This window comes from Homo sapiens, chromosome 1 (genome assembly GCF_000001405.40).
Source record: "Homo sapiens chromosome 1, GRCh38.p14 Primary Assembly".
Classification (NCBI taxonomy): Eukaryota; Metazoa; Chordata; class Mammalia; order Primates; family Hominidae; genus Homo; species Homo sapiens.
Window position 1 is genome coordinate 100,869,356 of NC_000001.11, and position 26,702 is coordinate 100,896,057.

General features: G+C 38.5%; 1 protein-coding gene across 16 annotated transcripts, besides 5 other annotated features; it reads right to left on the reverse strand.

Moving 5' to 3' along the window:
* Nucleotides 1-3,016: 3,016 nt before the first annotated feature.
* Nucleotides 3,017-25,824, reverse strand: EXTL2 (exostosin like glycosyltransferase 2). Of its 16 annotated transcripts, none has more exons than XM_047449405.1 (7): nt 25,575-25,816; nt 25,278-25,431; nt 19,398-19,473; nt 9,069-9,092; nt 8,121-8,548; nt 7,439-7,509; nt 3,036-5,075 (listed from the first exon to the last, which is right to left on the reverse strand). In XM_047449405.1, exons 3-7 carry the CDS (start codon nt 19,400-19,402, stop codon nt 4,587-4,589), a joined length of 1,017 nt encoding a protein of 338 aa, XP_047305361.1. In that variant the 5' UTR covers nt 19,403-19,473; nt 25,278-25,431; nt 25,575-25,816; the 3' UTR covers nt 3,036-4,586. The 16 variants fall into 16 exon arrangements, 15 of the variants coding, with proteins under 15 accessions (XP_047305361.1, XP_047305362.1, XP_011539297.1 ...); XM_047449406.1 differs by having other exon boundaries at nt 19,398-19,509; XM_011540995.3 differs by lacking the exon at nt 25,575-25,816 and adding an exon at nt 23,462-23,514 and having other exon boundaries at nt 25,278-25,487.
* Nucleotides 14,658-14,952: a silencer, noted in NCBI's record as "tiled region #5467; HepG2 Repressive non-DNase unmatched - State 8:EnhW". NCBI's record gives its function as "represses a minimal TATA promoter and a strong SV40 promoter by Sharpr-MPRA in HepG2 cells {active_cell/tissue: HepG2}" and the evidence as "EXISTENCE:reporter gene assay evidence [ECO:0000049][PMID:27701403]".
* Nucleotides 20,605-20,805: a silencer, noted in NCBI's record as "peak338 fragment used in MPRA reporter construct". NCBI's record gives its function as "represses an SCP1 promoter by STARR-seq MPRAs in K562 erythroleukemia cells {active_cell/tissue: K562}" and the evidence as "EXISTENCE:reporter gene assay evidence [ECO:0000049][PMID:32103011]".
* Nucleotides 24,819-25,542: an enhancer, noted in NCBI's record as "H3K27ac hESC enhancer chr1:101359730-101360453 (GRCh37/hg19 assembly coordinates)". NCBI's record gives its function as "activates a minimal SCP1, AML or CMV promoter by ChIP-STARR-seq in primed H9 embryonic stem cells {active_cell/tissue: H9 hESC(primed)}" and the evidence as "EXISTENCE:reporter gene assay evidence [ECO:0000049][PMID:30033119]".
* Nucleotides 25,543-26,265: an enhancer, noted in NCBI's record as "H3K27ac hESC enhancer chr1:101360454-101361176 (GRCh37/hg19 assembly coordinates)". NCBI's record gives its function as "activates a minimal SCP1, AML or CMV promoter by ChIP-STARR-seq in primed H9 embryonic stem cells {active_cell/tissue: H9 hESC(primed)}" and the evidence as "EXISTENCE:reporter gene assay evidence [ECO:0000049][PMID:30033119]".
* Nucleotides 26,160-26,229: an enhancer, noted in NCBI's record as "active region_1387". NCBI's record gives its function as "activates an Ori minimal core promoter by ATAC-STARR-seq in GM12878 lymphoblastoid cells {active_cell/tissue: GM12878}" and the evidence as "EXISTENCE:reporter gene assay evidence [ECO:0000049][PMID:35858748]".

Below are 26,702 nucleotides of genomic sequence, written 5' to 3' on the forward strand. Positions count from 1 at the left end.
ACTTTCTCTGAGACATTATTAAAACACACAGCATATTATATAATATTTCTCTGTGGTGCTTCAGAAATATATATATTCATTCATATGTTCCCTCCCAGAAAATCAAGCTCCATTCTCTATTTCTTCAATATGTGAAAATAGAAAGAGGTATGTGGATGAGAAAAAGAAAATGAATCAAAAATAAACCTTAACCAGGGAAATTTCTGGCTCTTTGATGAGGTTGAGGGTCATAGCATCATGCATCAGATGTTTTATCAGAAATACAAGCACATTTTCCCTTAATGTTCTGTTCCAATAGGCATTGTTATACAGGATAAAACTTTAAAAATGCAACTTTCATTGTGATAAGTAGTGTGATATGATACAAGACTGATGAAATATTCCATAATATAATGCCAAATATATTTTTTCTCAACTTTAGCACTACTGACATTTTGGGACACTTAGTTCTTTGTGGTGAGGGCCTGTCTTGTGCATTGTGGGATGCTTAGCAGCATCTCTGGCCTCGACTCACTAGACGCCAGTAGCAAGCCCTCCATTGTAACAACCAAAAATGTCTCCAGACATTGCCAGATGTCCCCTCGGGGGCAAAATCAGTCCAGGTTAGGACCTACGGCTATAAAGTAAGACTGATTGCTTCAGATATATATATTTTTAAACTACTGAAAATATTCCAATCAAGAATTTGATTCTTTTTCCTTTTAGATAAAAGAAATATTGACATATGAAAAAGAAAAGAGACTTGAGGCCTCTCTAGATTAAATAAATACTTCATTTACATATTCCTTCTGAGCTAGAGCTAAAGTGGGCCCCTTAAATTGCTTTCAGTACTTGCATACTTACTCTCGCTTCTTTTTATACTCTAAGGTATAATTCTGACACAGTTACTACTTCACAACCAAGCTTTCTTTTTAACTGTTGGCCAAGCTGCTGTTTATCAGTGATGGCTTTTACAATATTCTTTAATTTTCCTGCTATTGCAAAGTTCTCTTTACACGTTATGGCCTGTGAATCTTGGGGCAGGTATTTTCATCCCTATTCTTCAGATGAAATTAAGTCAACCCAGGACTCAGTGCATGTTTCTAGGGTACCAAATGGTCTTTTTTTCATCTATGGTAGCTATATATTTGAGTTGTATATTAAGAAGGCTTTCAAGGAGTGGAGGAAAGAAGAATGAGGGAGGGGAAGAAGGAGGGAAGGGAGAAAGTGAACAAAGTTGAAAGCAACTTAGTGGAACAATAAACGATAAAAGCTGGCATGGGATAGAGGATGATATAATCTCACCATTTAAGTCATTGTGGCAACCTTTGAGATTCAGTACCTTCATACTCATCCTCCATCACAGCAATATCCTCCACTCCCTCTCCCACATTCCACTCCCTGTCCCTCCTACCCCCTCAAGTGCATGTATTCTAGCACACACAGATATCCCTTCCTGGCCTCAGGTTCAAAGCCTTAGGTCTTCCCAGAGGAAACAAATGTGGCCATTTCTGTTGCTTCCAAACGGTTTATTGCTGGTACCAGGAAATTTTCATTGTTTATACTCTAAACCTTGGAGTAAAGTTTTTAGAAGCTGTCAAATGCTTCCTGAAGCTTATATTGCCCTCCAGTTTTTTTGATAGTTGATTGCCTGCCTTTTCAGTCTTCTCAACACAGAGTTCTATGAATGAGCAGCCTTTCAAATCCAGCACTATTTGAGTATTTTATATGTAGAAAAAATATATGAAAGAACCTGTTAAATAATACTCAATTTTGGGAAACTGACAGGAAACAGGTGCTCTCAGATGTGGTATGAATAGGCTAGCCATGTCAACACCTCTGGAAGCATTTAGCAGTATGTAGCAAAACCCTAAAAGCACACACACTACTAGATAGACCCAGGTATTGAACTTTGTTGGACTTGATTTTAAAGAAATAATTATAGATATGCTCAAAGATATCTTTTCAAGGCAAAGATACTTATCCAAATGTTTTTATAATGGTAAAAAAGTATAAAATAAAATGGTAGTATGATTGAGTGCATAAATTATGGTTTATTCATATAATAAAATACCAGATAAATCATGCTAGTAAAATATATGCCTAGAAAAGTCTGCAGGAACACATACAAAAATGCCATTGTTAATTGGGGTAGTGGGCTTTTAATTACTTCTTTATACTTTTCTGAATATGCCAAAATTGCCGGAATGAATATATACTGCTTTAATCATAAGAAAAATAGTATTTGACAGAGCGAGACTCCGTCTCAAAAAAAAAGAAAGGAAAAACAGTATTTGAAATAAATAATGAATAGGAGATGAAACTGCCATGGTTCCTTACCCATAGTTAAATGCAAATAATTTCCTGAATGTCTCACCTGGTGGATGCAGGGGCTTCCTAACACCTAGGTGGTGAGTGGAAGGATTAATTCTGTCCTTATTATCAATAACACTGTCATCCCAACAGCTTTCATTTACTGAACATCTAAAATGGGCAAGGCACTGTGCTGTATTTATGCAAGTTATCTCTTTTATTCCTTAAAACAAACTCCAGGCAGATATTATCCTTATTTTGCAGATAAGGAAACTGAGTAAAGAGAAAATGAGGTCTAGCAAGGATTTGAGCCCAAGTATTCTAATGGCAAAGTGTGCACAATTGACCCGCTACGTTGCATTGCTTCTCTTACAAAGTTTTAAGCCTGAGCATCTCTTCTCCAGATCATTTGAGGCAAGAATAAGAGGCGTTCAGGGAAAGACAGCTTTAATAGGAGTCTATCTACAATGCAAGAGTCTTTGTAATGTAGACTGAACTGCACTTTGGTTTCATATTATTTGCTCTATAATATCTGAAACCATGATATGATTAACTTATGTGATGCTTAAGACAAGTTTAAAGACACAAGATGGGAAATAAAATTTGGGAATATTTTTTCATGGGTAATGTGGCTAATGTCTCTACCTTATTCTCAGCAACATATTAGAGTATCATATCTAGAAATGTGTAAGAACACCAATCACAAAAACATGAGTCTGCTTAGTTAACACAGAACACATGGATGGCAAAAGTTTCTTTTATTTATCTGCTAGAGGAATCATAAGAGGCAAAAAAGTACTACCAATATTGGACAAAACAGATAACTGACATTATCGATTTTTAGTAAGATTCTTAGTTTCTTTGTTTTTGTTTTTTACAATCTGACTGCATTAAGACACATATACTCTTTAATGTAAAAAAAAAACCATCATATGCGGAACTAAATGCACAAAGACCTCATTATTGGAACATTAGCCATGATTATTTTAATATTCTCACAGCTTTGCAATTTTGAGAATATACTAGCATTATATAAGAAGGAAGAGGAGAAGGAGGAATAAGAGGGAAAGGAGGAGAAAGAGAAGTTGGTAAACAGAGGCCTAGTTAAGAATTCCTTGCCTTAGTGGTGAACAAGGACTAAACACAGACAATGGGTGAAACACAGACGCTAATTCACATAACAGAGAGTAGGCAACCTTAAGAATGAATTGATGCAGACTCCTATAGAATTCCTCTGTTATGACTGGGTTCTTATTTTCTCCTCCTTGTATGTAGTTGAAATTTCATCATTATGAATAGTTCCTTGGATCTTTTTTTAAAGTTGTGAATGCAAGTGTTTGGCTTTGTAATACAACTTTTTAGTATCCAGAAGATAACCAGTGCTCTACCAATAAAGATCTTTTGATACAAAGGGTTTTAACTTCTGCCAGTTCTTACTCATTTTTTTCAGGTTTTTTATACATTTCTTAAACAACACATACATTATGTAAAATATAAGAATTAATGTACATTCTCAAGGTCAGATTCAGTGACAAAATGCACTACCCGAATCTAGTAACACATTTACTCCTTGCTGCATATAAGTGGCGTGTAAGAAATACAGGGTATATTGTTTTGTGATCCATGCAGTAAATGTTCACAAATATCAAGCAAACAACTAGACGTTCTTCAGCTACTAAAATTAACTGTCCCAGTCACAAAAGACTTAACAAAAATAAAAGCATGGATGGTTACATCAAAACCATGCTGGACTGAGTTCGTCCTGGAAGAGCTGGTTGGCAGGGCCACAAGGAAAGCACTGGCAGCTGCAAATTTTCCTCTTCATATGTGACTGAGACTATTCTCTTCTTACATGGCTTTACCCCATACCACAGGCTTTTGCTAAAGAGGCATTTCAGGTTTCAAATTAAAACAACTGACCTTTAGTGAAAAAGCAGAGAAATGCCTCTCTTGAGTTTCTGATCCTAGAAACAGCTTGCTATAGGTCCTTAAGGCAAATGCCAGGAGTCAAAGAAACTGTAGAACAGTCTCAGGATGTAAACAATAAAATCACTGACCAAGGAGTTATATCCCTGGATGAAAACTCTTCATAAGAAGACCTAACTGGATAAGACCAACTTCTTGGCTTTCAAAAGTAATGTGAATTTTATATCCTAGAAGCACTGCACTTTTTTTTCTATTGTAGAGACTTCTGGAGTAGATAAAATTCATGATGTTGCTTAAAAAAATACATAGCATGGAGAAGCTACTCAAATGCCAAGCAGTTTTCAGGTTTGTTTTTGTTTGTTTTACTTTTATATTTTTCTTTTGTAGTTGGCATATGGAAAACCAAACTGGGAAATCATAATGTTGGAGTATCTTAAGGGCATGCTATCATAGATATTAACAAGCTTATTTATACAATAAGACCTCTGCAGAGCGTGCTCAGCTCGATGCCACATTCCAGAATAGCCACTGTTGGTTTCTTTTTCCAAATTGTCCATGTTTACAGGCTTCACAAATATCCCTGAAGTCTTGCCAATATGCTTGGCAATGATAAAATTCATGGCAATATCATCACAGTTTTGAGTATCATCTATCAAAGCATGGACAGCTGCAGGTTGCCTCTGAAATAATTCAAGATATTTGCTATTGAAGAATGAGGCTCCAATCAGCACCATAGAGTACTGGTCACCATTTCCAGACCCTGGTGCTTGCATTTCAAAACTTCCATAACTGTAGATACCTGATGAAGTAGAGACGTGCTTTCTAGGAACAAATCCTACAATTTGATCAGGAAATTGCTGAAAAGAGGGAAAAAGAACAATAAAATGTCACATATTTTTAGAGAAGACATAGTGAAAAAGGCAATGATTTATTACAGAGAGAATGAAACTGATTTGTCAACTCTTCCTTATTCCTGGTTTCTACATTTCAGTTTTATCTAGCTCCAGGTAACTTCATAAATCTGTGTTCTGATATGTTTACAGGTCAAATGGCATCACAACCCAAACATCTCTGAAAACAAATATTCTACCCTTACAAATGTTCTCCTAATTCAAACATTATCTGACATTAACAAATTCCAGTCACCAAAGAGTCCAATCCTTCAAAATGTGCTGCGAGAAAAGTTGACTGCCTGAATGCTATTTGTTGTAGGAAATAAGAGATAATGGGATCGTTTTGAAAATTTGTTCTAATCTCTTAGGAGTATATAAAATTATGGACCTACATGTGTGATTGTCTCTTTTTCATGTTGATTTCGATGTTCATAAAAATTACTGTTGATTTTAAACAATGTTATATTTATCCCATTTCAGCTTGGGTGTTTCTTTTTTTAAAAAATGAGATAATATAAATAAATGTTTATACTTATCTATATAACATAAATGTTTATATTATGTATATGTGAGAGAGATGCATCAGAATCTTTGATGAAAGGATAGATGGTAGATGAGCATGACTAAAAATAAAACAACAATCAGCAAACAAAAGAAAAACACTGAAGCATGGGAAAGAGGTAAGAATTTATAGGGTTGAAAGTTTCATTCACTCATAAATAATTTGAGTTTCATTCATTTATTGAACAGATGCAGAACTAGGGACACACACACACACACACACACACACACACGAGGCTGAGTTAAATGCTATTTCAAAGCACTTATAGTCTAGAGAGGGTAGAGGGGTATAATATGGATATGCAAACAAGGAAATACAATACTGTGAGAAAGTTGTTTTAAGTGCAGCTGGGTAAATTCAATGGGCACATTGAGGGTAGAATGACAACTGTGTTGCTGGGAGGCAAAGGGGAAGGTCAGGGGATGGGGGATAAAGGCTGGGAGGTTTCAGAGAAGATGCGCTATTTATACAATCTAGGAGAATGAAAGAAATTTCACAATTGGCTAGAGAGGGAAAAGGGAAAACACTAAAAGTGGAGGTAATGGGCAAATACAAAGACACAGATGAATGTCTACTCGAATCTTGCTTGCTTATACACAAACCTCAGATCATTATGCTATGCAGGGTTTGGGTTGGACTGAATTTAAGTTGGTCAATGGACTGAAATTGTTTTTGATATTTTTAAAAATAAAACCTGAAATCATATTTATATATCTTTAATTTATAGTTTACTCAGATGGTTCCAATTAACCACAGTCCCCATATTCTGCCTCCATTTTTACATTTTGGGCAAATGGATTTTTAAGCATCAATAGAAATCTCACAGTTGAATTATCACATTAGAACTTTTTGTCCAAGAAGCTTTCATGTATTTCATTTCATTCCAAGGACTGGAAAAAAAAATTGTTGATATGGAAAAATTTCGTTGGTCAGCACACTAGGCATGAAATTAAAAACTGAAGTTTTAAAAATGCTGATATCTGCTGAGTATTGTGATCACTTACCATTAATATCGAATGCTGTTATATCCCAAGAAGCTAATTTTAAAAGTTACCATGGCATAAATTCGATCATTTACTGGGTAGCACAGTGTTTAATTATTTGACACGGCTTCGAAGTACTTCCATGCAGTTCCGGTTTCAGGTAATGGCAGTGCAACTTGTAAAAGTTAGCTATTACTAACACATATTCAATAGGAGAGAGCGGCTTTTATAGGATACTGACCAATTTATGCCTGCTTATTCAAGCTATGATTTAGGAAAAAACAAAACAAAATAAAACAAAACCCTCCTACCACAATGGTACATGTAAAATTATTACTGCAAAATTTCTAAACAATGCTCTCAGAACCAGGATTAAATTTTGTGGAGGTAATAAATACTTCCTTTTACAAAAAGTTATACACATTATTAACATAGAAATAGGCTTATCATTTGAGACACATGTCTGTGGTCTAGGCAAAACATCTCCTCATTCTAGTTTTTGCTGGACCACATCATTTCCCCATTGTTCTCTGGAAGGCAGTTCTAGCTCTTTTCCCCAATACACCAAAATATAAATTAAATCTAGATAAAAGATACTATAACTTTCAGGATGGCTGAACTAAGCTCAGAAAATCTTGATTAGCCTATAACAAATTCATCCATCTTTTAGATAAATATTATCTAAAATATTTTAGGTAACTTCTATATTAACCATGTTGCCGTGGTTAAGTACTAGTCAAGATCTTATAAAGACGGTTTCATAAAAGAGACAGCAACATTACCTGCCAAACTGAGAAAGCAAAAACAAGGTCTGGGGTGCTGATGAGTGTGTCATCATCTACCATCAACACTGCTAAAATGAAAGGACAAAAATTTAAGTTGAATAGTTCGGAAATGAAAACAAAAGTAGTAAAATACAATAGTGTCTATATAGATCATTCAAATGAAGTATTTTCTGACCCAACAATAAATAAGCAATGTATTCTTGGGGAGATTTGTCCAGTAGAAAATAATTTTTTTGGTATCATAACTGATTGTATAACTGCCTGAAGGGAAAATAATCAAGCAGTTATTATCCATCATCCTAGAAACTATTGGGCCTATAAATGAATAAAGCCAAGATTCTTTTAAGCAAATTGCAACCTCATGAAACTGTCAGGAATGGGAGGAAAAGAGGAGTGGCAAAAAAATATATTAAGCATAAGCTAAATGGCATCTTACTATCAACTGTAATGCAATCATATGTAATTATAGCATATCCTTTATTACAATATTAACCTCTTCGCCAGGAAACCACTTCTTGACATCTTGGAAATTGTCCCTCAAGCTTTCCAAAGTGCTTTCTTAGGACTAACTTCCTTCATTTTTCTCCAGACGGTTAAGCAGAAGGCCAGAAATTCACATGTCTGTCCCAGCTCTGGACAGCGGCAGCCTTTCCAGGCTGAGAACTACACTGCAACTCACCATTGGTTTCCAGTTCAGGAAAGACCTGGAGTCGATTTCTCATCCTGTTTGCTGTCTGTTGTTTGAAGATCACAGGGATAGGGTGGGGCCCTAGAGAATTCCATAATTCATCTGGTGCCTTCTCTCCAATATTGTTCCATACCACAATCACTTTGTGCAGATTTGGTACAGCCTGATAATGATTTAAAAGTTTCAATAAGAGATCTGTTCTGTTGTACGTCTGCATTATGAGAGTAAAGGAGTCCATGGTGGACTTGCCCTGGGATTTTATTTCCCTACGCAACATGAGCATCTTGTCTTCTTTAACACTGGGAAGTAAGGCAGTCAAAGCACCAGCTACCAGTAATAATACGAGGATGACCACCAAAGATAATCGAAGCACTCGAATCCCCATTACTCTCCCAGGAAGTTTGCAGATGTGGCAACACCTGGAGTAGAAATGGAAACAACATACAAATGTTAGCATTCTTACGAGTCCCTGTGTTTTCATGTTTTTTTCCAATGAGGAAAGATATCAATCTTATTTTAGTTGATTCAAATTCAGTTCTCCCTTCCTCCTCAATAAGGTAATTTGGCCTAAGAGATTTTAAAAAACCAGTTTAATATTCCCTTCCTTCTTGCCCTGCTTGTTACGCAGTTGCAGACAAAAGATGTTATACACACAAAATTGGAAAAATTAAGCATTTAAAAATTTGCCATCATTTTATCACTATATCTCCAGAACTGAGATTATTTTTCAACTGGGATTTTATTTCCCTTAGTAATATATTAATTTCGAATCTACACTTCTGTAGTAGCAGACTTTTTCCCAAACAAAATCATACAGAGCCATAATACATGAGGCAGCAAACAATTATGGTAGGTGTATTACTTACCAGCCCTGTACTATGTGCTTCATATACCACAGTATGTACTTACTCATTCAACAGATAGTTCCTGAGCACTTACTTTGTGCCACCACTGTTCCAGGTTCTGTGGATACAGCAATTAATGAGATACAAAAGGTGTCTGCTGTTAGTAGCAGAGGAGATGATAGGGAGAAACAGATAACACAATAAACAAATTCAAAAGATAATCTGGGGTAGCGGGTATGAAGAGAATCTGTTTATAAAAAGAATAAATCAGAATAAGCAAGGGCCAGATTATGTGGGACCTCTGACCCTCATTAGAGTCTGGATTTTACTATACGCCAGATGAGAAGCCATTGGAGAGTTCTTGGATCTAATTTATTATTTATTATTATTATTCCCATTTAATAGTTTAGATGCTTACAGAGATTACATGCCCTTCCCAAGATTACCAAGTAATTTCAGTAATAGTGCTAGGATTTCCAACAGGAAAATCTGCCCCGAGAGCCTAGGTTGTTCATGGGCTTGGGGGTGTATTGCCTGGCTTTACATCCAGGTTGAACTGAGGCACAGCCCTACAGCTTCCACAACTCGATCTCTCACAGTACAAATCACAAGGTATTATTATCAGCTATGTACTCTCCCATCTTCCTTATTGTACCTAAAGGGTCTTCCAGAGATAGCCATAGAACAGTAGTGAACAAATTGATAAGTACAGTCTAGCTATCCACTGTCAAAAAATTTTGTGTAATCAAATCCCTTGCTTATATGAGAAAAGGTTAAATCTCAGACAGTTTTATAGATGCCTAAAACTCTTATTCCCTGGATTCCAATAACATTTCATTTCCATGCTTGCTGACTCCTGCTGTAGTACTGTTGGCATTCAATTATTTCTGTTTTTCAATCTTCTGCTATTTCTGCTTCTGATTCCAGGCTACTTACTCTTCCACAGGCCACCAGAAGCATTTTAGGTATGGTCCTTGTTTTGTACTTTGGCAACTGAGTCTTCATAGCCATTTCAGCACATCATGGATCTATTTTACTACTCTATTCAAGTGCAAAGCCAGAAGTGAGGAAAATGAACTATTCAAAGAAATTTACTTATGAAAAGAAAGACTGGAAACAAAAACCAATCAGGAGTTTCTAAACAACATATTTAAAACACCTTTAGGAAAAAAATAGATCTCTGAGAAAGAATAGATGAGATGTTATTCTTGGTGACCTTAATTAACCCATAGTCTATCCCTTCTCATCCCCACTTCTGGTACAATTTCTCTTCTTGGCTATGATAAACAGTTACTCTCATCTATTGCTTAATACTGACAGATGTAATACAGCTGGATAAGACTTTTCACTGCTAACCACAGCTGAAGTATACTAACTGCAAAGAGCTACTGTCACTCTTCTTCTTGGTATAACACTGCCTCTGTACATTTTATTTTTGGTACTCCCCCTCTTCTTGGAAAAGTGAACTGTATGTATACTTACATAGTAATATTTAAGCTCTTGATTTCATGTCTTGTGGCTAAAGTCAGGCAATTGAAGCTAGGCCATCATTCCATAGGCAATCCTAAGACTGTAGTCTAAATTTAGTTTGGAATAGAATAGAATAGTTTTGGAATATTCTGTTCCAAACTAAATCTCATTTTACTTTCCTAATGATATCTACTCAACATTTTGTTTTTCACTGAGGAGACTTGGCAGTGGTTGGGTTAGTAACCATCATATTCCTGTAAGCTTGTTTCATGTTGTGGTGTGTGTTTTGTAATGGTAGAAAGTTTCCTCTCTATAGTTCAAGGACATAGAGAGATCATATATACCCCGTCTTTAACATTTTCCTTTGAAGTTTAAGTTTAGAGAATTGCAAAGAAGGACAAGAGCATACTCTCCATGATAGGACAGTATGCTCAGGCATGTGCAAGCAAAGGAAGAGTTTGTTCACAAAGACAAGGAGAAGATCATTGTCATTCAGCAGCTCTCACTTTTCAACAGTCCAGATTTGAAAAGTAATGTCACCTTTAGAGTAAGCTTTTGAGAGTGATTTCAAGGGTATCTCTCCTGGACTTTCTCTGCAGCTTGTTCTATTAAAAAGAGCAATTTTGTGTTTCTGCTTCTATCACGGCCTCACTCTTAAGGTATAAACAAATAAATTATTTTCAAGGTAACCTCAGCTTTTCCATGATTATTTTACAAGGATAATAACTTAAAGCTTTAGTGTACCATGTTTTCATTTTATCTACCCTCTTACTAAAACATGTAATGTTAATGTGGTCAAGGACAAATCATTACGAATTAACAATCTTGGTTCAAAGTCCTTGAAAATCCTTTTAATATTGAAGGAAAAGTAGGTCCCATAACACATATTTTCAGTTCTACATAAAAATGACTGGTTATAAGTACTGAGAATAAACAATCACTTTGACTAACTGCATTATAGTATACCATGATTAAGATCTTTATATTCATTTTCTGCAGCTGAGTAGGAATAGCACATTTTAAAACTTACATAGAAGTGTTTCTGATCTCTAGACACTAATAACTTGCTATCTAGCAGTTTTAATCTAGAAAAAGTAATAAGATTAATTACTATAGCTTACTATAAATATACACCGTTGAAGACACTCATGAGTGACTGCTTCCTTCTCATGTATTCTTTTAAGTAGGAGTTTATCCCCTGTATCCATCACAGACATTTCCTTTCAGATAGCTCCTAATCCCCCAATTTTACCTGTATCAGAAAGGTTTCAGGAGATATGAATAATTTATGTCTTTAGAAACATAGTGTAAATATTTCATGAGGTATTTATTAAATAATGCAACCCAATAAAATTATGTAAATTTTAGTTTGCATAGTAAAGTACGAAAAGCAAGGACTTTATAGACTGTAGTGCAAGTGGCACACTGTACTTTGACAATAGCTGAGGTCTAGAACTCCATTGTAGGCCCATTAGAAACAGCTTCAGTACAATTTGGAGAATAATGATGACTTTATGGCTAGAAGGATTTCACAGTTTTTGGCGTTCTTCTGTTCTTCTTTTAGAGAAAGAACCTATCATCTAATTTGCAGCTTTGAGCTTTGAATGAGAGATATGAGAAAAAACACATCTGGATGACCTATGTCGTACTTGGGAAGAACTAAGAAGTAAACATAAGCACCTCAGTTCTCTTGCCCTCATTTCCTAAACTTTCCCTTTTAGGTTTTGGTTTTTCATTTTTTAAGTTATGTCTTTATATATTTGCTGACACCCTGCCTCATTCCAAAAAGGATCTGACAGCTCTTAGTCTATTCCCCTTCTGTCCTTCACCCATCCCCATGACTGCAGTAAATATAACTTTGATAAATACAGTAAATGCCAACAAAACAAAAATCCTTCCTCTTCTCCTCATGAACGAAAAAAATCCAAGATTTCCCCCAATGATATTTTCTGCACATTAATTCATTAGTTCTTTATAGGTAGAGAACACATCCTTTTAGTTATTTTGATACATTGTTACTTAGCGTCTTCTACACCAGAGGTCCCCAATCCCCAGGCTACACATCAGTACTGGTCTGCAGCCTGTTAGGAACTGGGCTGCACAGCAGGAGGTGAGCAATGGGTAAGCAAGCATTACCACCTGAGCTCCACCTCCTGTCAGATCAGCTGTGGCATTAGATTCTCACAAGCGTGCAAACCCTATTGTGAACTGTGCATGTGAGGGATCTAGGCTGCATGCTCCTTATGAGAATTTAATGCTTGATGATCTGAGGTGGAACAGTTTTATCCCAAAACCATCCCCCACCACCCATCCATGGAAAAATTGTCTTCCACAAAACAGGTCCCTGGTGCCAGAAAGCTTGGGGACCACTGCTGGGGACACCAAGGGTTTTCAACTAGAGATGATTTTGTCTTCCAAGGGACAGTTGGCAAAGTCTGGAGATATCTCTGATTGTCACAACTAGAGGGGAGATACTATTGCTATCTAGTGGGTAGATGTTAGGGATGCTGCTAAATATCCTGCGATGCACAGGACAGCCCCCCATGGCAAAGAATTATCTGACCTAACACGGCAATAATGCCAAGGTTGAGAAACCCTGATCTACATATAGGTTGCCTAATAAAACACACTTAAACATCATGATGAGGACTACTAGAGAGGTGGCTTCTGAAAATCCTACTGCCATTAGTTATACTCAAACAATAAAGGGCAAAGCCCTGTCTCTAAAACTGCCCCGGGAGGCCCAGCATGATGGCTCAAATCTGTAATCCCAGCACTTACGGGGGCAAAAGCAGGATTCTGCCTGAGCCCCAGAACTTGAGACCAGCCTGGGCAATGTCATGAGACCCCATTCCTACAAATAAATTAAAAAATCAGCCATCTGTAGTGGTGCATGCCTATAGTCCCAGCTACTTAGGAGGCTGAGGCAGGAGGATAGCTGGAGCCAAGACGTTGAGGCTGCTGCAGTGAGCTGTGATTGCATCACTGCACTCCTGCCTGGGGAACAGAGTGAGACTCTCATCTCATAAAAAAACAAAAAACAAAAAACACAACAAACCAACTAAAAAATACTGCCCCAATAATTACATAATTATATGACTTATTGCACAAACACAGAAACTCAGAGAGCTGAAAGAGACTTCAGGGTCCTCCTTAGCCAGTTTCCTTGTTTCACAGATAAACAACTCAAGGTCCGGGGATAAGGAACTTGCCTAAGGTCATGCAGCTGCATGTGGCTAATCAGCAGCAGAACCAAGAGAAGACTCTAAACCTTCTGATGGCACAGTCCACAACTCTTTCCACTATGCTAGGGTAAATTCTGCAAGGATGTGTCAAAAAATTAATAAGGAAGACTGTCACTAACCTGCAAGATAATATAAAAAATTATACTTGTTATGTTGGAGTTTTTTAGTATCTTTAAGGAGAGATTACATACAATAAAATTTACCCATTTAAAGTATACAGTTCAGTAGCTTTTAATATAATCACAGAGTTTTGCAACCATCACCACAATTTAATTTTAAAACATTTTCAACACCTCAGAAAGAAACCCCAGACCCATTAGCAGCCAATCCCTATTTTCACTTCCCTTAACCCCTGACCTCCATCCCAGCTCCAGGAAACCACTAATTTATTTTCTGTCTCAGTGGATTTGCCTATTCTGGATATTTCATATGAATGGAATCATACAATATATGACCATTGTATCTGGCTTTTTTCACTTAGCATAATGTTTTTGAGGTTCATCCATGCTGTATATATCATGAGGTATATATCAGTACCTCATTTTTTTTGTTGCCAAGTAACATTCCATTCTATGGATAGACCACATTTTCTTCATTCATCAGTTAATGGACGTTTGAATTGTTTCCACATATTGGCCATTATGAATAATGCTGCTATGAACATTCATGTACAAGTTTTTATGTGAACCTATGGTTTCAGTCCTCTTAGGTGCTTACCTAAGAGTAGAATTGCTGGGTCATTATGTCAGTAATATTTAAATATCTGAGAACTGAAGTAGCTTTTCAAAGAGCATTATTTGAAATTACAAGTAATTTTCTTAAATGTGGACATAGAATAAGAAAGTAAATAATATATAGTATATTAAATAACAGTACAAATTCTGTCATGGATGTCTTTAAATGGACCAGGCAATTTGAATTTCCAAAGATCTGCTATAGAGTTACTTACTACATAATCTATCAAAGTTCCCTAGAAGAAACACCGTTGAAGGATTCTTTCCTCAAGGCTAGTTCCTTCAGACTGGAAAGCAATAATTATCCAGAGAGAAGCTGAAAACAAACATGCCAGTGCACAGCATGAACAAAGATTATGTTCTCTGACTCATAAGGTAGAAAAGCAATGAGCAACGTGGTGTTGTACAATGAGAAGCTGTCATTTTTATTTTGCTGCCACAGATGGCAGCAGAACGATAACTATTCTGCCATTTCACTACGAGATTTGCCTCATACTGTCCAGATTGTTTCTCCTCTGGCTCATCTTCTAGAATATTTACTTGCCTATAAACTGATGAATATAGAATGTAGATGCTCAGAAAAGGGGCCTCAGCTGCCAAGAGATAAAATCATTCCAAGGTTGAATACAGAGGCCAATGCAGAACCTGAGCTGATGCACGTAAGAAGATGCAAAAAGAAAATTGGAAGAGACGGCTCTACAACCAATGACCAGTTTCTGACCAGGTTTATGGCATGCAGATAACCAACACTGTTTAAACTAAGGCAAAGGCGCATGTGGTGCCAAATTCCAAAAAGACATTTCCCCTCAATGGTACCTACATACAGTGAGCCGATCCACGACTCCATGTATTGGTACATGCTATTTTCTCTACTTCCAAAACCCTTCTATCTGACAAACTCTTACTCCCTGCCCCTCAAATCTCTTTCAAATATCACATCTCCTATAAATGTTTCCCTCACCACTCTCCACCCTGAGTATTCCAGTGAACTCTGATTACTGTGTTTCTAGTCCTTGTTTTCAGGTATTTCAACTATCGACTGTTCTTTTGCTGTTTTTTTCAGTCTTAACGTATCTTGAGGGAAGTTTCTGTCCTTCTTTATAATCCAGAACAGTGTCTGGCCCATTTTTTGACTCAGTGCTCACATCACTATAGTTGAATTAAATGAGGGAATTTATGTCTAAATTGTCCTAAATGTCAATGAATGCCTGAAACATTAACAGAATAAATGCAGATTAAATGTAAATTAAGGCCCAATTAAGACTAGACAGTACCAAAGCAACTGTTCCCTACATAGAAGAGCTGGGTCATCACCCATCTGGTGACTAGAAGAGCATGTCATGAAATGTGACCTCAAACACAGACCACACAGGCCCCCTTTCTACATGCAGTTCTGTGGCCAAGCCACTTGATAAACAAAAGATGTCTCAGATCTCTGATTTTTTTTCACATCTTTTCAAAGATATTCTGCATTAAAATATATTTGAACATCCCTGTTTCTATGAAAGCTCTTGGTGAATGAGCTGATTTGCCTTGGGGGGAAAGCATCATTTGATGGATAATATCATCCTTGTGAATTTCCCCAAGGAAGTTTAGCAGGTCATGATAACCGGAAGCTATATTATTTAATCCGGCACGCAGCATACATGATTTAAACAGACAAAAAACCTCTTACTTGGTTGAGAAAAGAAAATTTAGTTTGGGTTCAGAAAGTGACAAAAACTACAGACTTCATGACAATTGGCAGAAAGAGAAAACTAAGTCAGAACACTACACAACTCAATTCAGTATTGCCCATGGTAAGCTTCTTCCATTAAAATTATAAGCAGCATAAACTAGAATTTATTGCATTGCAAAATACAAAATGCCAGAAATGGTACATGAAAGGTCATTTTTCTTCACAAGTCTTTTCCAGGTGCTATACAAGATTCGGGGAAGAGTTTTTGATGTAAGGTTTTTACCCACATTCAGGAAAGTCATTCTTTTCATTGTTGTTTTAGAAATGCCATACAGCTTTTCTCATTTTCTACCAATTCTATGCTCTCCTTCCAAAATGATTTCCCCTCCCTTTTTCCTAAGTAGCTCTTCTATTCTTACGAGGTTCTTCTTAATTCCTGTTACTTTTTTCACAAATCTAAAACAAAATAATTTAAATTAGTTTGTGTTAATAATAAATATAGCAGTAAAGGCAGGAATAGGAATAGACTTATAATAATAAAAGAGTCCATGTAGTGTCAGAGATTCATCTTGTGATCTTATGTTTATGGCCAATTACAGTGATATGAATGGATCATTTAGATGACTACAATCTGGATCAACTGTGTTACGGACTAGTTATTAGGGTGGAAGTGATCCATCTTTTCTATTGACAATAGAATGGCTACGCATATATATGATCATTGATAGCCAATTTAAACCTTGTTATTTAGAAGGCCTAGTCCTGCCCTTTTTAGACTACAGTTCTGAAACAATTGCTAAAATATTGAGAAGTAGCTACACAAACTTCAGTATCACATTTAAATAGAATGATGTTGCTGCAATAGGTCATTTAGCACTGCAAGCTGTGAGGAAAGCATCTCTGTGCTGATTACATTAAACATCACGTCTTCCATCTGGCGGACAGGTTGAATGAGCCATTTCTTAACAGGTAAATCAGGCTAGAATGAACAAGGGCAGCACTGAAAATGGGATATCAGGCATTAAGTACCTGTGTTTCTATTTCCCTCCTCAATCCTAAGCTCTTATGCATTGCAAAAGCTGCTCATCAGTTCTAGCATTTTCTAGTTTTCCTCTTCCCCTTTCCTATACAAAGGATCTTATTCCTTCTCAACAATGCTTCAGGCAGCTATTATCAATTAACTAGAGTTTGCTTTGTTATCACTTATTTACAGGGAAATAACATAAATATTATGCATAAAGTCGTTTTCAAGCACCACTTGCTTCCTTCAATCCAGCTATCTGCTCCTGAGGTAGACAATGAGGTCCTTTCTACTTTCAAACTGCGCAGGTCTGAATTATGCTAGATAAAAGTTCTTTCTAGCTTTGCACCTATCTCTTGGAATAGTGAATTAATTGTAGCTATTGATGATGATAATGATAATGATGATGATGTTTGGAGATGACCAATTCCATGGACATATATTAGGGCAGGAGTGAGAGAGGCCTTATTCCTAAGAGGAACATATCCATGACTCATAGGATCCAAGGAGTCAACGCATCCTAAGAGGAAAGCCTAGAAATAGAAAAGCATTTTTAGCTCAGTACAGTGCCATGCAAAATTAGTTCTAGAAATGGGTCAAAAAGAAACCAAGTACCTCTGCAAATATTGTACATTTACCATTCCAGGATACCAGAGATTTTCATTTGAATCTGTTTTGTCAGGCAACAGATCCCTGTTCTGTTCTATAGAACCCTTTCTCTTTTATCCAATATTGGTTTTCAGCCATTAACTCACTTTCCAAAATCACTTCTGTAAGAGAAATGGATTTCATACAGATGAATTATGGCTTAAAAATATTTTTAAGTATTGAATCTAAGATGGAAGCAATCCCACTTCATGTGAGCTTTCTTACTTTATTAGGGGAAGGTAAAAATATCCAGCAAATATTTATAGGTATTTACCACGTGCCCAGCACTAAGTACTAAGGGATGGTAGTGAGCAAGAAGAACCAATTTCTGCCCTCACAGAGCTGAGCATTACTAATGAAAGTTGTCAGAGCTCTCCCTGCTTCATGTTATAGATTACCTCAAACTGACAATGTTTCAAATCTTTAGAAAGAAAGGAAATAAAGTGTATCCATCCCATTTTGCAGAGAAGACATTTGAGATTGAGAATACAGTATTAAAAGATTTTTCCTGAGCCACAGAAAGAGTGGCAAGTCTAAATCAAACTCTCGACTCTCTCACTTGAGCTACATTGTATTTTCTTTTTTTCTTTTTTTTTTGAGACAGAGTCTCACTCTGTCGCCCAGGCTGGAGATAAGTGGCGCGATCCGGCTCACTGCAAGCTCCGCCTCCCCGGGTCATTCTCCTGCCTCAGCCTCCCGAGTAGCTGGGACTACAGGCGTCCGCCATCACACCCGGCAAATTTTTTTGTATTTTTAGTAGAGACGGGGTTTCACCGTATTAGCCAGGATGGTCTCGATCTCCTGACCTTGTGATCCGCCCGCTTTGGCCTCCCAAGTGTTGGAATTACAGGCGTGAGCCACCGCGCCCTGCCCGCCACATTGTATTTTCTATGTCTTCTGAATAGTCTCTATATCCAGCTTTGTTCTGGTCTACAAGAATATTCAACTCTATACATACTGACTTCATTCTGTAACCTGGAATACTATTTCAATGGACCTAAGAGAGGTCTCTCAGTATTTTCTAAGATTTTGGCTTAAGTAAGAACTAGTGTTTCCAAGGAAATAAAACCAACTCTATAGGAGATAATTTTTCCCAGACAAAAGTACTGGTACTTCACCCATGTTCATTGTGGCCTTATTTACAAGAGTCAAAAGGCAGAAGCAACCTAAAGGTCAATTGACAGATGAATGGATAATACATTTAGAAAATATGATACACAGGTACAAAAGAGTATTATTATTCTGTTTTTACAAATTAGGGAATTCTGATACATGCCACAACATAGATGAATCTTGAAGACATTATGTTAATTGAAATAAGCAGTCACAAAAAGACAAATACTGTATGATTCCATTTATTATGAGGTACCTAGGAAAGTCAAATTTATAGAAACAGAAAGAATGGCAGTTGCCAGGGGCTGGGAGTAGGAAGAAATGGACAGTTGTTGTTCAGTGGGTATAAAGTTTCAGTTTTGCAAGATGAAAAAGTTCCAGAGATCGGCCGCACAACAATGTGAAAACAGTTAACACTACTGAACTATATACTTAAAACCCGTTAAGGTGATAAATTTTGTGTTATACGTATTTTACAACAGTTAAACAAAAGCCAAAAAATATTGGTACTTACCTCATTGTGTTGAAGTTTAATTTTTAAAAAATCTCCTTATAGCTTCAGTAATTGACAGAAGCAGGCTCACTTGTCACTATTAAGATAAATCAAAGAATTTTCTGTGATGTTTCTGTCAGTCAGCAGGAAATTTAAAAACAAAACAAAAAATGGTGCTTTCAATGCCATTGTCCATAAGCCTTGAGTTACTTTAGAAATTAAAATTTGTTATTCTGTCTTCTAAAAATTATATTTAGGCAATGAGGTAGATGATTAATGACTTCCAGTGAGGTTGGTGCTATATTTTGGTTTTCATCTTTCTATTGAGGGTTGTATTAGTCTGTTTTCACACTGCTATAAAGAAATACCCCAGACTGGGTAATTTATAAAGGAAAGAGGTTTAATTGACTCATAGTTCCACATGGCTAGGGAGGCCTCTTATGACCATCACGGAAGATGAAGCAGGCACCTTCTTTACAAGGGGGCAGGAGAGAGTGAGTAAGCACAGGAAAAACTGCCACTTTTATAACCATCAGATCTTGTGAGAACTCACTCACTATCACAAGAACAGCATGGGAGAAACTGTCCCCATGATCTAATCACCTCCCACTGGGTCCATCCCACAACAAGTGGGGATTATGGGGATTACAATTCAAAATGAGATTTGGGTGGGGACACAGCCAAACCATATCATTCTACCCCGGCCCCTCCTAAATTTCATTTCAAAACACAATCATGCCTTCCCAACAGTCCCCCAAAGTCTTAACTCATTCCAGCATTAACCCAAAAGCCCAAGTCCAAAGTCTCTTCCAAGGCAAGGCAAGTCCCTTCTGCTTAGGAGCCTGTAAAATCAAAAGCAAGTTAGTTCCTTCAAAGATATAGTGGGGATATAGGCATTGGAAAAATGCTCCCATTCCAAATGGGAGAAATAGGCCAAAAAAAAGGGGCCACAGGCCCCATGCAAGTCCGAAATCCAGTGGGGCGGTCATTAAATCTTAAGGTTCTTAAATAATCTCCTTTGACTCTGTGTCTCACATCTAGAACATGTTGATGCAAGAGGTGGGCTCTCAGAGTCTTGGGAAGCTGTACTCCTGTGGCTTTTCAGGGTACAGTCCCCCTCCTGGCTGCTTTCATAGGCTGGCGTTTGAGTGTCTGTGGCTTTTCCAGGCGCACAGTACAAGCTGTCTGTGGATTTACCATTCTGGGGTCTGGAAGATGGTGGCCCTGTTCTTACAGCTCCACTAGGCAATGCTCCAGTGGCAACTTTGTGTGGGGACTCCAACCCCACTTCTCCCTTCCACACTGCCCTAGCAGAGGTTCTCCATGAGGGCTCCACCCCTGCAGCAAACTTCTGCCTGGACATCCAGGCATTTCCATACATCCTCTGAAATGTAGACAGAGGTTCCTAAACCTTAATTCTTGACTTCTGTGCACCCATAGGCTCAACACCATGTATAAGCTGCCAAGGCTTGGGGCTTGCATCCTCTGAAACAATGTCCTGAGCTGTATGTTGGCCCCTTTTAGCCATGGCTGAGATGCAGGGCACCAAGTCCCAAGGCTGCACAGAGTAGGAGTAGGGTCCTGGGCCCAGCCCATGAAACCATTTTTCCCTCCTACACCTCTGGGCCTGTGATGGGAGAAGCTGCTGTGAAGGTCTCTGACATGCCCTGGAGATATTTTCCCCTTTGTCTTGGTGATTAACATTAGGCTCCTTGTTACTTATGCAAATTCCTGCAGCTGGTTTGAATTCCACCCCAGAAAATGGGTTTTTCTTTTCTACCATATAGTCAGGCTGCAAATTTTCCTGACTTTTATGCTCTGCTTCCCTTTTAAACACAAGTTCCAAATTCAGATCATCTCTCTCAGGTTCAAAGTTCCACAGATCTCTAGGGCAGGAGCAAAATGCCACCAGCCTCTTTGCTAAAGTATAGCAAGAGTGACCTTTGCTGCAGTTCCCAATAAGTTCCTCATCTCCATCTGAGACCACATCAGCCTGGACTTCATTGTCCATATCACTATCAGCATTTTGGTCAAAACCATTCAACAAGTCTCTAGGAAGTTCCAAACTTTCCTACATCTTCCTGTCTTCTGAGCTCTCCAAACTTTTCCATCCTCTACCCATTACCCAGTTCCAAAGTCTCTTCCATATTTTTGGATATTTTTATACCAATGCCCTACTCTCTGCAGTACCAATTTACTTCACCAGGTAAAAAACTATGACCTGCTGAGGTGCTTGCTGAAAGCAAAGGGAATACAGAATGGGTAGTAGAAGAAGGTAGTGATCAATACCAGCTATGACCACATAAGCAGTTGCAGAAATTAGGACTGTAATTGTCATGAGTTTTCCTCCTTATTTTGTTAAGAATATGTTTATGCATGTATACACTTGTACTAAGAATAAAGAATATATCTATATTTCCCCTCTTTTTCCTGTATCCTGTGACATTTATTGACATCATATCAGCATTTAAGTGTTGTTAACTTTATGTAATGGCATTTAGGTTAAGGATTAGTATGCTTCTGGTTGTATAAAGGATAGCTGTATTGTTAGGCATAATTATGACCGTATTATTGTTTTTATGTAAGCATGCAATGGGTTCACCTTGCCTGCTACCTAGACCGAACGAATTTATCAAGACAGGGGAATTGCAAAAAAGAAAGAGTAATCTATGCAGAGCTGGTTGTGCGGGAGACCAGAGTTTTAGTGTTACTCAAATCAGCCTCCTGGAAAACTCAGGGATCAGAGTTTTTAAGGATAATCTGTTGGGTAAGGGGCCAGTGAGTTGGGAGTGCTGATTGGTTGGCTTGTGGATGAAATCTTAGGGAGTCAAAACTGTCCTTTTATGCTGACTCAGCTCCAGGGTGGGGGCCACAGAACTGGTTGGCAGGTCCAGGTGGGGCCATCCAGTTATCAGAAATGCAAAAACCTGAAAAGACATCTCAAAAGGCCAATCTTAGTTTCACAATAGTGATGTTATCTTCAAGAGTAACTGGAAAAGTTGCAAATCTTATGACCTCTGGAATAATGGCTGGTAATATTTAGAATTCCAGCCCCTCTCATCCTAACTTGGTGCCTGGTGGCCTTTCAATCATTTTACAACAACAGTTTAGCTTTTGGGAAGGGCTATTATTTAAACTATAAACTAAATTCCTTCCCAAGGCTAGTTTGGCTTACATTCAGGAATGGACGTTTAGAGGTTAGAAGCAAGACGGAGTTGGTTAGGTCTGATATCTTTCACTGTCATAATTTCCTCAGTTATAATTTTTGCAAAGGCAGTTTCATTTATTTGGAGATTAGGTATGATTTCAAGAAATGTGTATGGGTTCAAGTTGACAAGGGATGGACTTGTGAAGGTTAATATTGTCAACTTGATTGAATTAAAAGATGCAAAGTATTGTTTCTAGGTGTATTTGGGTGTTTCTGGGTGTTGCCAGCAGAGATTAACATTTGAGTCAGTGGACTAGGACAGGAAGACCCACTCTCAGGAAGACCCACTCACAATGTGGGTGGGCACCATCCAATTGGCTGCCAGCCTGGCTACGAAAAGCAGGCAGAAGGTGGGAGAAGCTGACTTGCTGAGTATTTGGGCTTCATCTTTCTCCTGTACTGGATGCTTCTTGCCCTCGAACATCAGGCTCCAAGTTCTTTGACTGTTAGACTCTTAGACTTACACCAGTGGTTTGTCAGGGGCTCTCAGGTCTTTGGCCACAGACTGAAGGCGGCAGTGTCGGCTTCCCTACCTTTGAGGTTTTGGGACTCTGATTGAGCCACTACTGGCTTTGTTGCTCCTCAACTTGCAGATGGCCTATTGTAGGACTTCACATTGTGATTGTTTGAGTCAGTTCTTTTTAATAAACTCATTTTCATATACGCATCTATCCTACCAGAACTATCCTAGTTCTGTCCCTCCAGAGAACCCTAATATAAGGATCCAGAAGCAAAATAAATGCACACGATCCCAACTATCTAATGTTACACATTTGAAACCAGAGGATGTATGCCATGGAGCAAAACATTTGAACATGTCAGCAATTTGCACTTGTATCCAGTTTCTAGATTTATATGAATTTGTATTCTTATGTACCTTTACAACTCCTTTTTTAACCAGCAGTTCCCAGGGCGCTCAATTTGAAGCATCTAAAAGGGTCAAACAGGGTTGCAGATAAATGCCAGGGTTGATTACTGAGGAATGACAGATAGCATCTTTCCTATTCCTTGCTGACCATTGCCCAAAAGGAGCTGAAACCATGACTGAAATGAGCTTCTGCCCCTTAATTCTCTCTGCTTTCATTTCTCAGAATCCTCAGTCACACGTCTGAGCAGCTGGGGTTTTTCCACCCATAGAGTCTGCATAGCTAACCTAATGCAATTAGTTGGTAGGAGAGATATAAAAACATATTTAAAAGTTCAGGGTAGAAATCCATTTTTTAGTTTAAAAATGTTCAATAGTATATGTATTTTATGATCTTATAAACCGATTTAATCTTGTAACATACAAAGGAATTAAGAATTCTGATTGGTGACTTGCAAGATACCATTTGAACAGAGTTGAAGAATCATTTTTGATTTTCCAATACGACATATTGAAAGGGCAAAAGGAATGGCTTAGTATTTATGGAAAGACTTACTGAGTGACAGCTGTCCCTTCACACTGCTCCAAGGGCATCCCTTGTGTAAATTTTAAACATCACAGAGTTCTAAAAGACGAGACTGATTTGCCTGTCACAACCCCCCCCTTTCTTCATAACTACTCTTTTCCATAAAATTCCTCCAGGGAAGGAACTTTTTATTTATCTGGCTTTGTATCCCCAGCACCCAGCACAGAGCCTGGCACATAGAAGACATTCATTAAATGACTGTTGAATGAATGAAAGAAACAAATTTGATATGACAACAAAGATAGGTTAACATATATGGGACAAACATTATTTGACAATGACAAAAGAAGTGAGGCACAGCCTGACGTTTTTCACTCATAGAACTTTTCCTGATTTAAATAGTGTCCACCTACACTTTTATATTGCAAATAAAATGCCTTTAGTTTTAAATTTGGTCATTATGCTCTTTAAGACTGAAAGATGTGAAGACATCACCATCACTTTTTGAAAGGAGAAGGTCCTCATGGGAATACCTATCATATATCTTGGGGGATGGGGAGTGGGGGAATTTGGGAGTCTCTGGAAACTGATGTAACTGAAATTAAACTTCAATTTCTCGTACCCATTTCAAAACTATTTGAAAAGAGGTAATGTAGGTTTCTCCATAAACCACTTAAGCGATTTCTGATTTGTAGCAATACAGTATAAAATATAGGACTTATTTTCAAAGGCAGAATACAAAAAAGTTCAAAATGCAGCTGACCTTGATGAGTTAGGATTATGCTGGAAATCAGTTGCTGAAATTTAATTATTTCTATTACTTCTCCCGCCTTCTCCCAAGTTAAATCATATTGAATAAGGGCGTTTTGGAGAAAAATCCAATTACCATAGAATTATTTATCTTTAAACTATCTAGTTTGCACCCAATTAATTTTTCCTCAGCAGTGCAGTAGAGTAAAATTCAAGGTCTACTGCTAATACAAAAACTTCCTTCCAAAAAAAGAGTAAATGCTACTAATTTTAAATATTTCTACACTTAAATTAAAAGAATGAAATATACGCTAACAAAGGCAAATACAAAATACTCTTCCCAGAACTTACTTCTGAAACCTAGCTGTTTTTACACAGCAGTTTTAATTAACATTTTTCAAAATTGTAGAATAAGTACATATTTTCAAAAATAAAACCACCGAATACTCCATACACACACACAAAGTTCTCAGAACGAGAGCAAAACATGCATATATCCTCACTACAAAAAGAAAAATACTAATACTGGAGCATTTTGCTGTGTCTCCTTACCTCGAGTGCAGTAGATTGCAGTAGGGCCAGCCGATTTATTTCCCTGCAGCTTAGTTATCATAAAACGGAAGGGGCGTCTCGTTTGCTCATTTTTGTTTTTTTTTCTAAACCAAGTAGCGTGCATCTATCCTTCTCCATTAGCTGGATTAACAACCTGGAAAAAGTGCCGCCCGCAAAGTGAGCGCCTGGAGCAAGGGACAGTCCCCGAGTGGCCGCCCCTCCCTTTCGGTGACGCTCCACTTCCTGTCGGCCTAAAAGGCATTCCCAGGAAGCTCGGTTTTGTAGTTTCCAGCCCACCTCCGAAAGCCAATCCTTTCCTCCATTTCTTCTCCAAGGTAACAACTTTTAAACATTCACGTGACGGACCACCTTCCCTCAGCCAAACAACTTCCCTGAAAGGCGCCCGAAGGAGCCTTCCCATCCACCGCGGGTGCCCAGGAAAGGCCTGTGGGGCTCTCCTCCCCGCGCTCCACACGCCCTCGCATCCCACCGAGGGGCCAGCTTCTGCCTGCACGTTGCTGAAACTGGCCTGGAGGTTCTGACAAGAATTAGAGCGGCGGCCGTTGCCCCGGGGATGACCTGGAAGCGAAAGAGACCGGCACGAATTCTAGAGTTTCGGGGTTTCCGCGGGTTGAGATTGTACGGGAAACAATGCATTAACCAAACCTAAAAATCAAACAAACACGTCTGGTAGAACCTACCATTAAAAAGCTTCTTTCCTATACTACGTTTAACAGCCTTTATTTTGAAAGACATTGATTGATGCCAGGCATGGTGGCGCACGCCTGAGGTCTCAGCTACTCCGGAGGCTGAGGAGGATCACTTGCGTCCGGGAGTTCCAGGCTGTAGTGAGCCTCATTGTGCTCCAGCCTAGGTGACAGGGCGAGACCTTGTCTCTTAAAAAAATAAAGAAAGAAAAACATTGATCGCCTCCTGCGTGGCAGTCCAGAAGGGTCAAGCGCTGTTTTCGGGGTGGCGTGGAATGGATTCCTAAGATTTGGGCGCCCATAGAGTTAACGCAGCAAAACGATCACTTGCGTTTCCTGCGGACTGGCGGCAATAGAACACGTGGCTGCCTAGACTCTTAATCACTGATATCTACCACACCAGGATTTAATGCCAGTTGGGAGGAAATGGCGAAAGGGCAGGCGCTGGAGCCCATGCATCCGGGAACACTGGTGGTAGGCGGTCGGGTGGGCGTGAGCGGGCTCTCCATCTCCCAGCCCAGTCTGCAGGTCGCCACCTCAGGATTTTCTTCCTGAGTCCGGGTGGCAGGATTCCATCCCAGGTCAGCCCCTCACACCCCCTGGTAGTTGCCACCTCCTGGCGTCCCTCCAACAGCTCCAGCACCTTTCTCATCCCGCCCCCGCCGCAAGCCACGCCCTCCGCCGCGCAGGCCCCGCCCGCGACCGGCCTCCCTCCTTT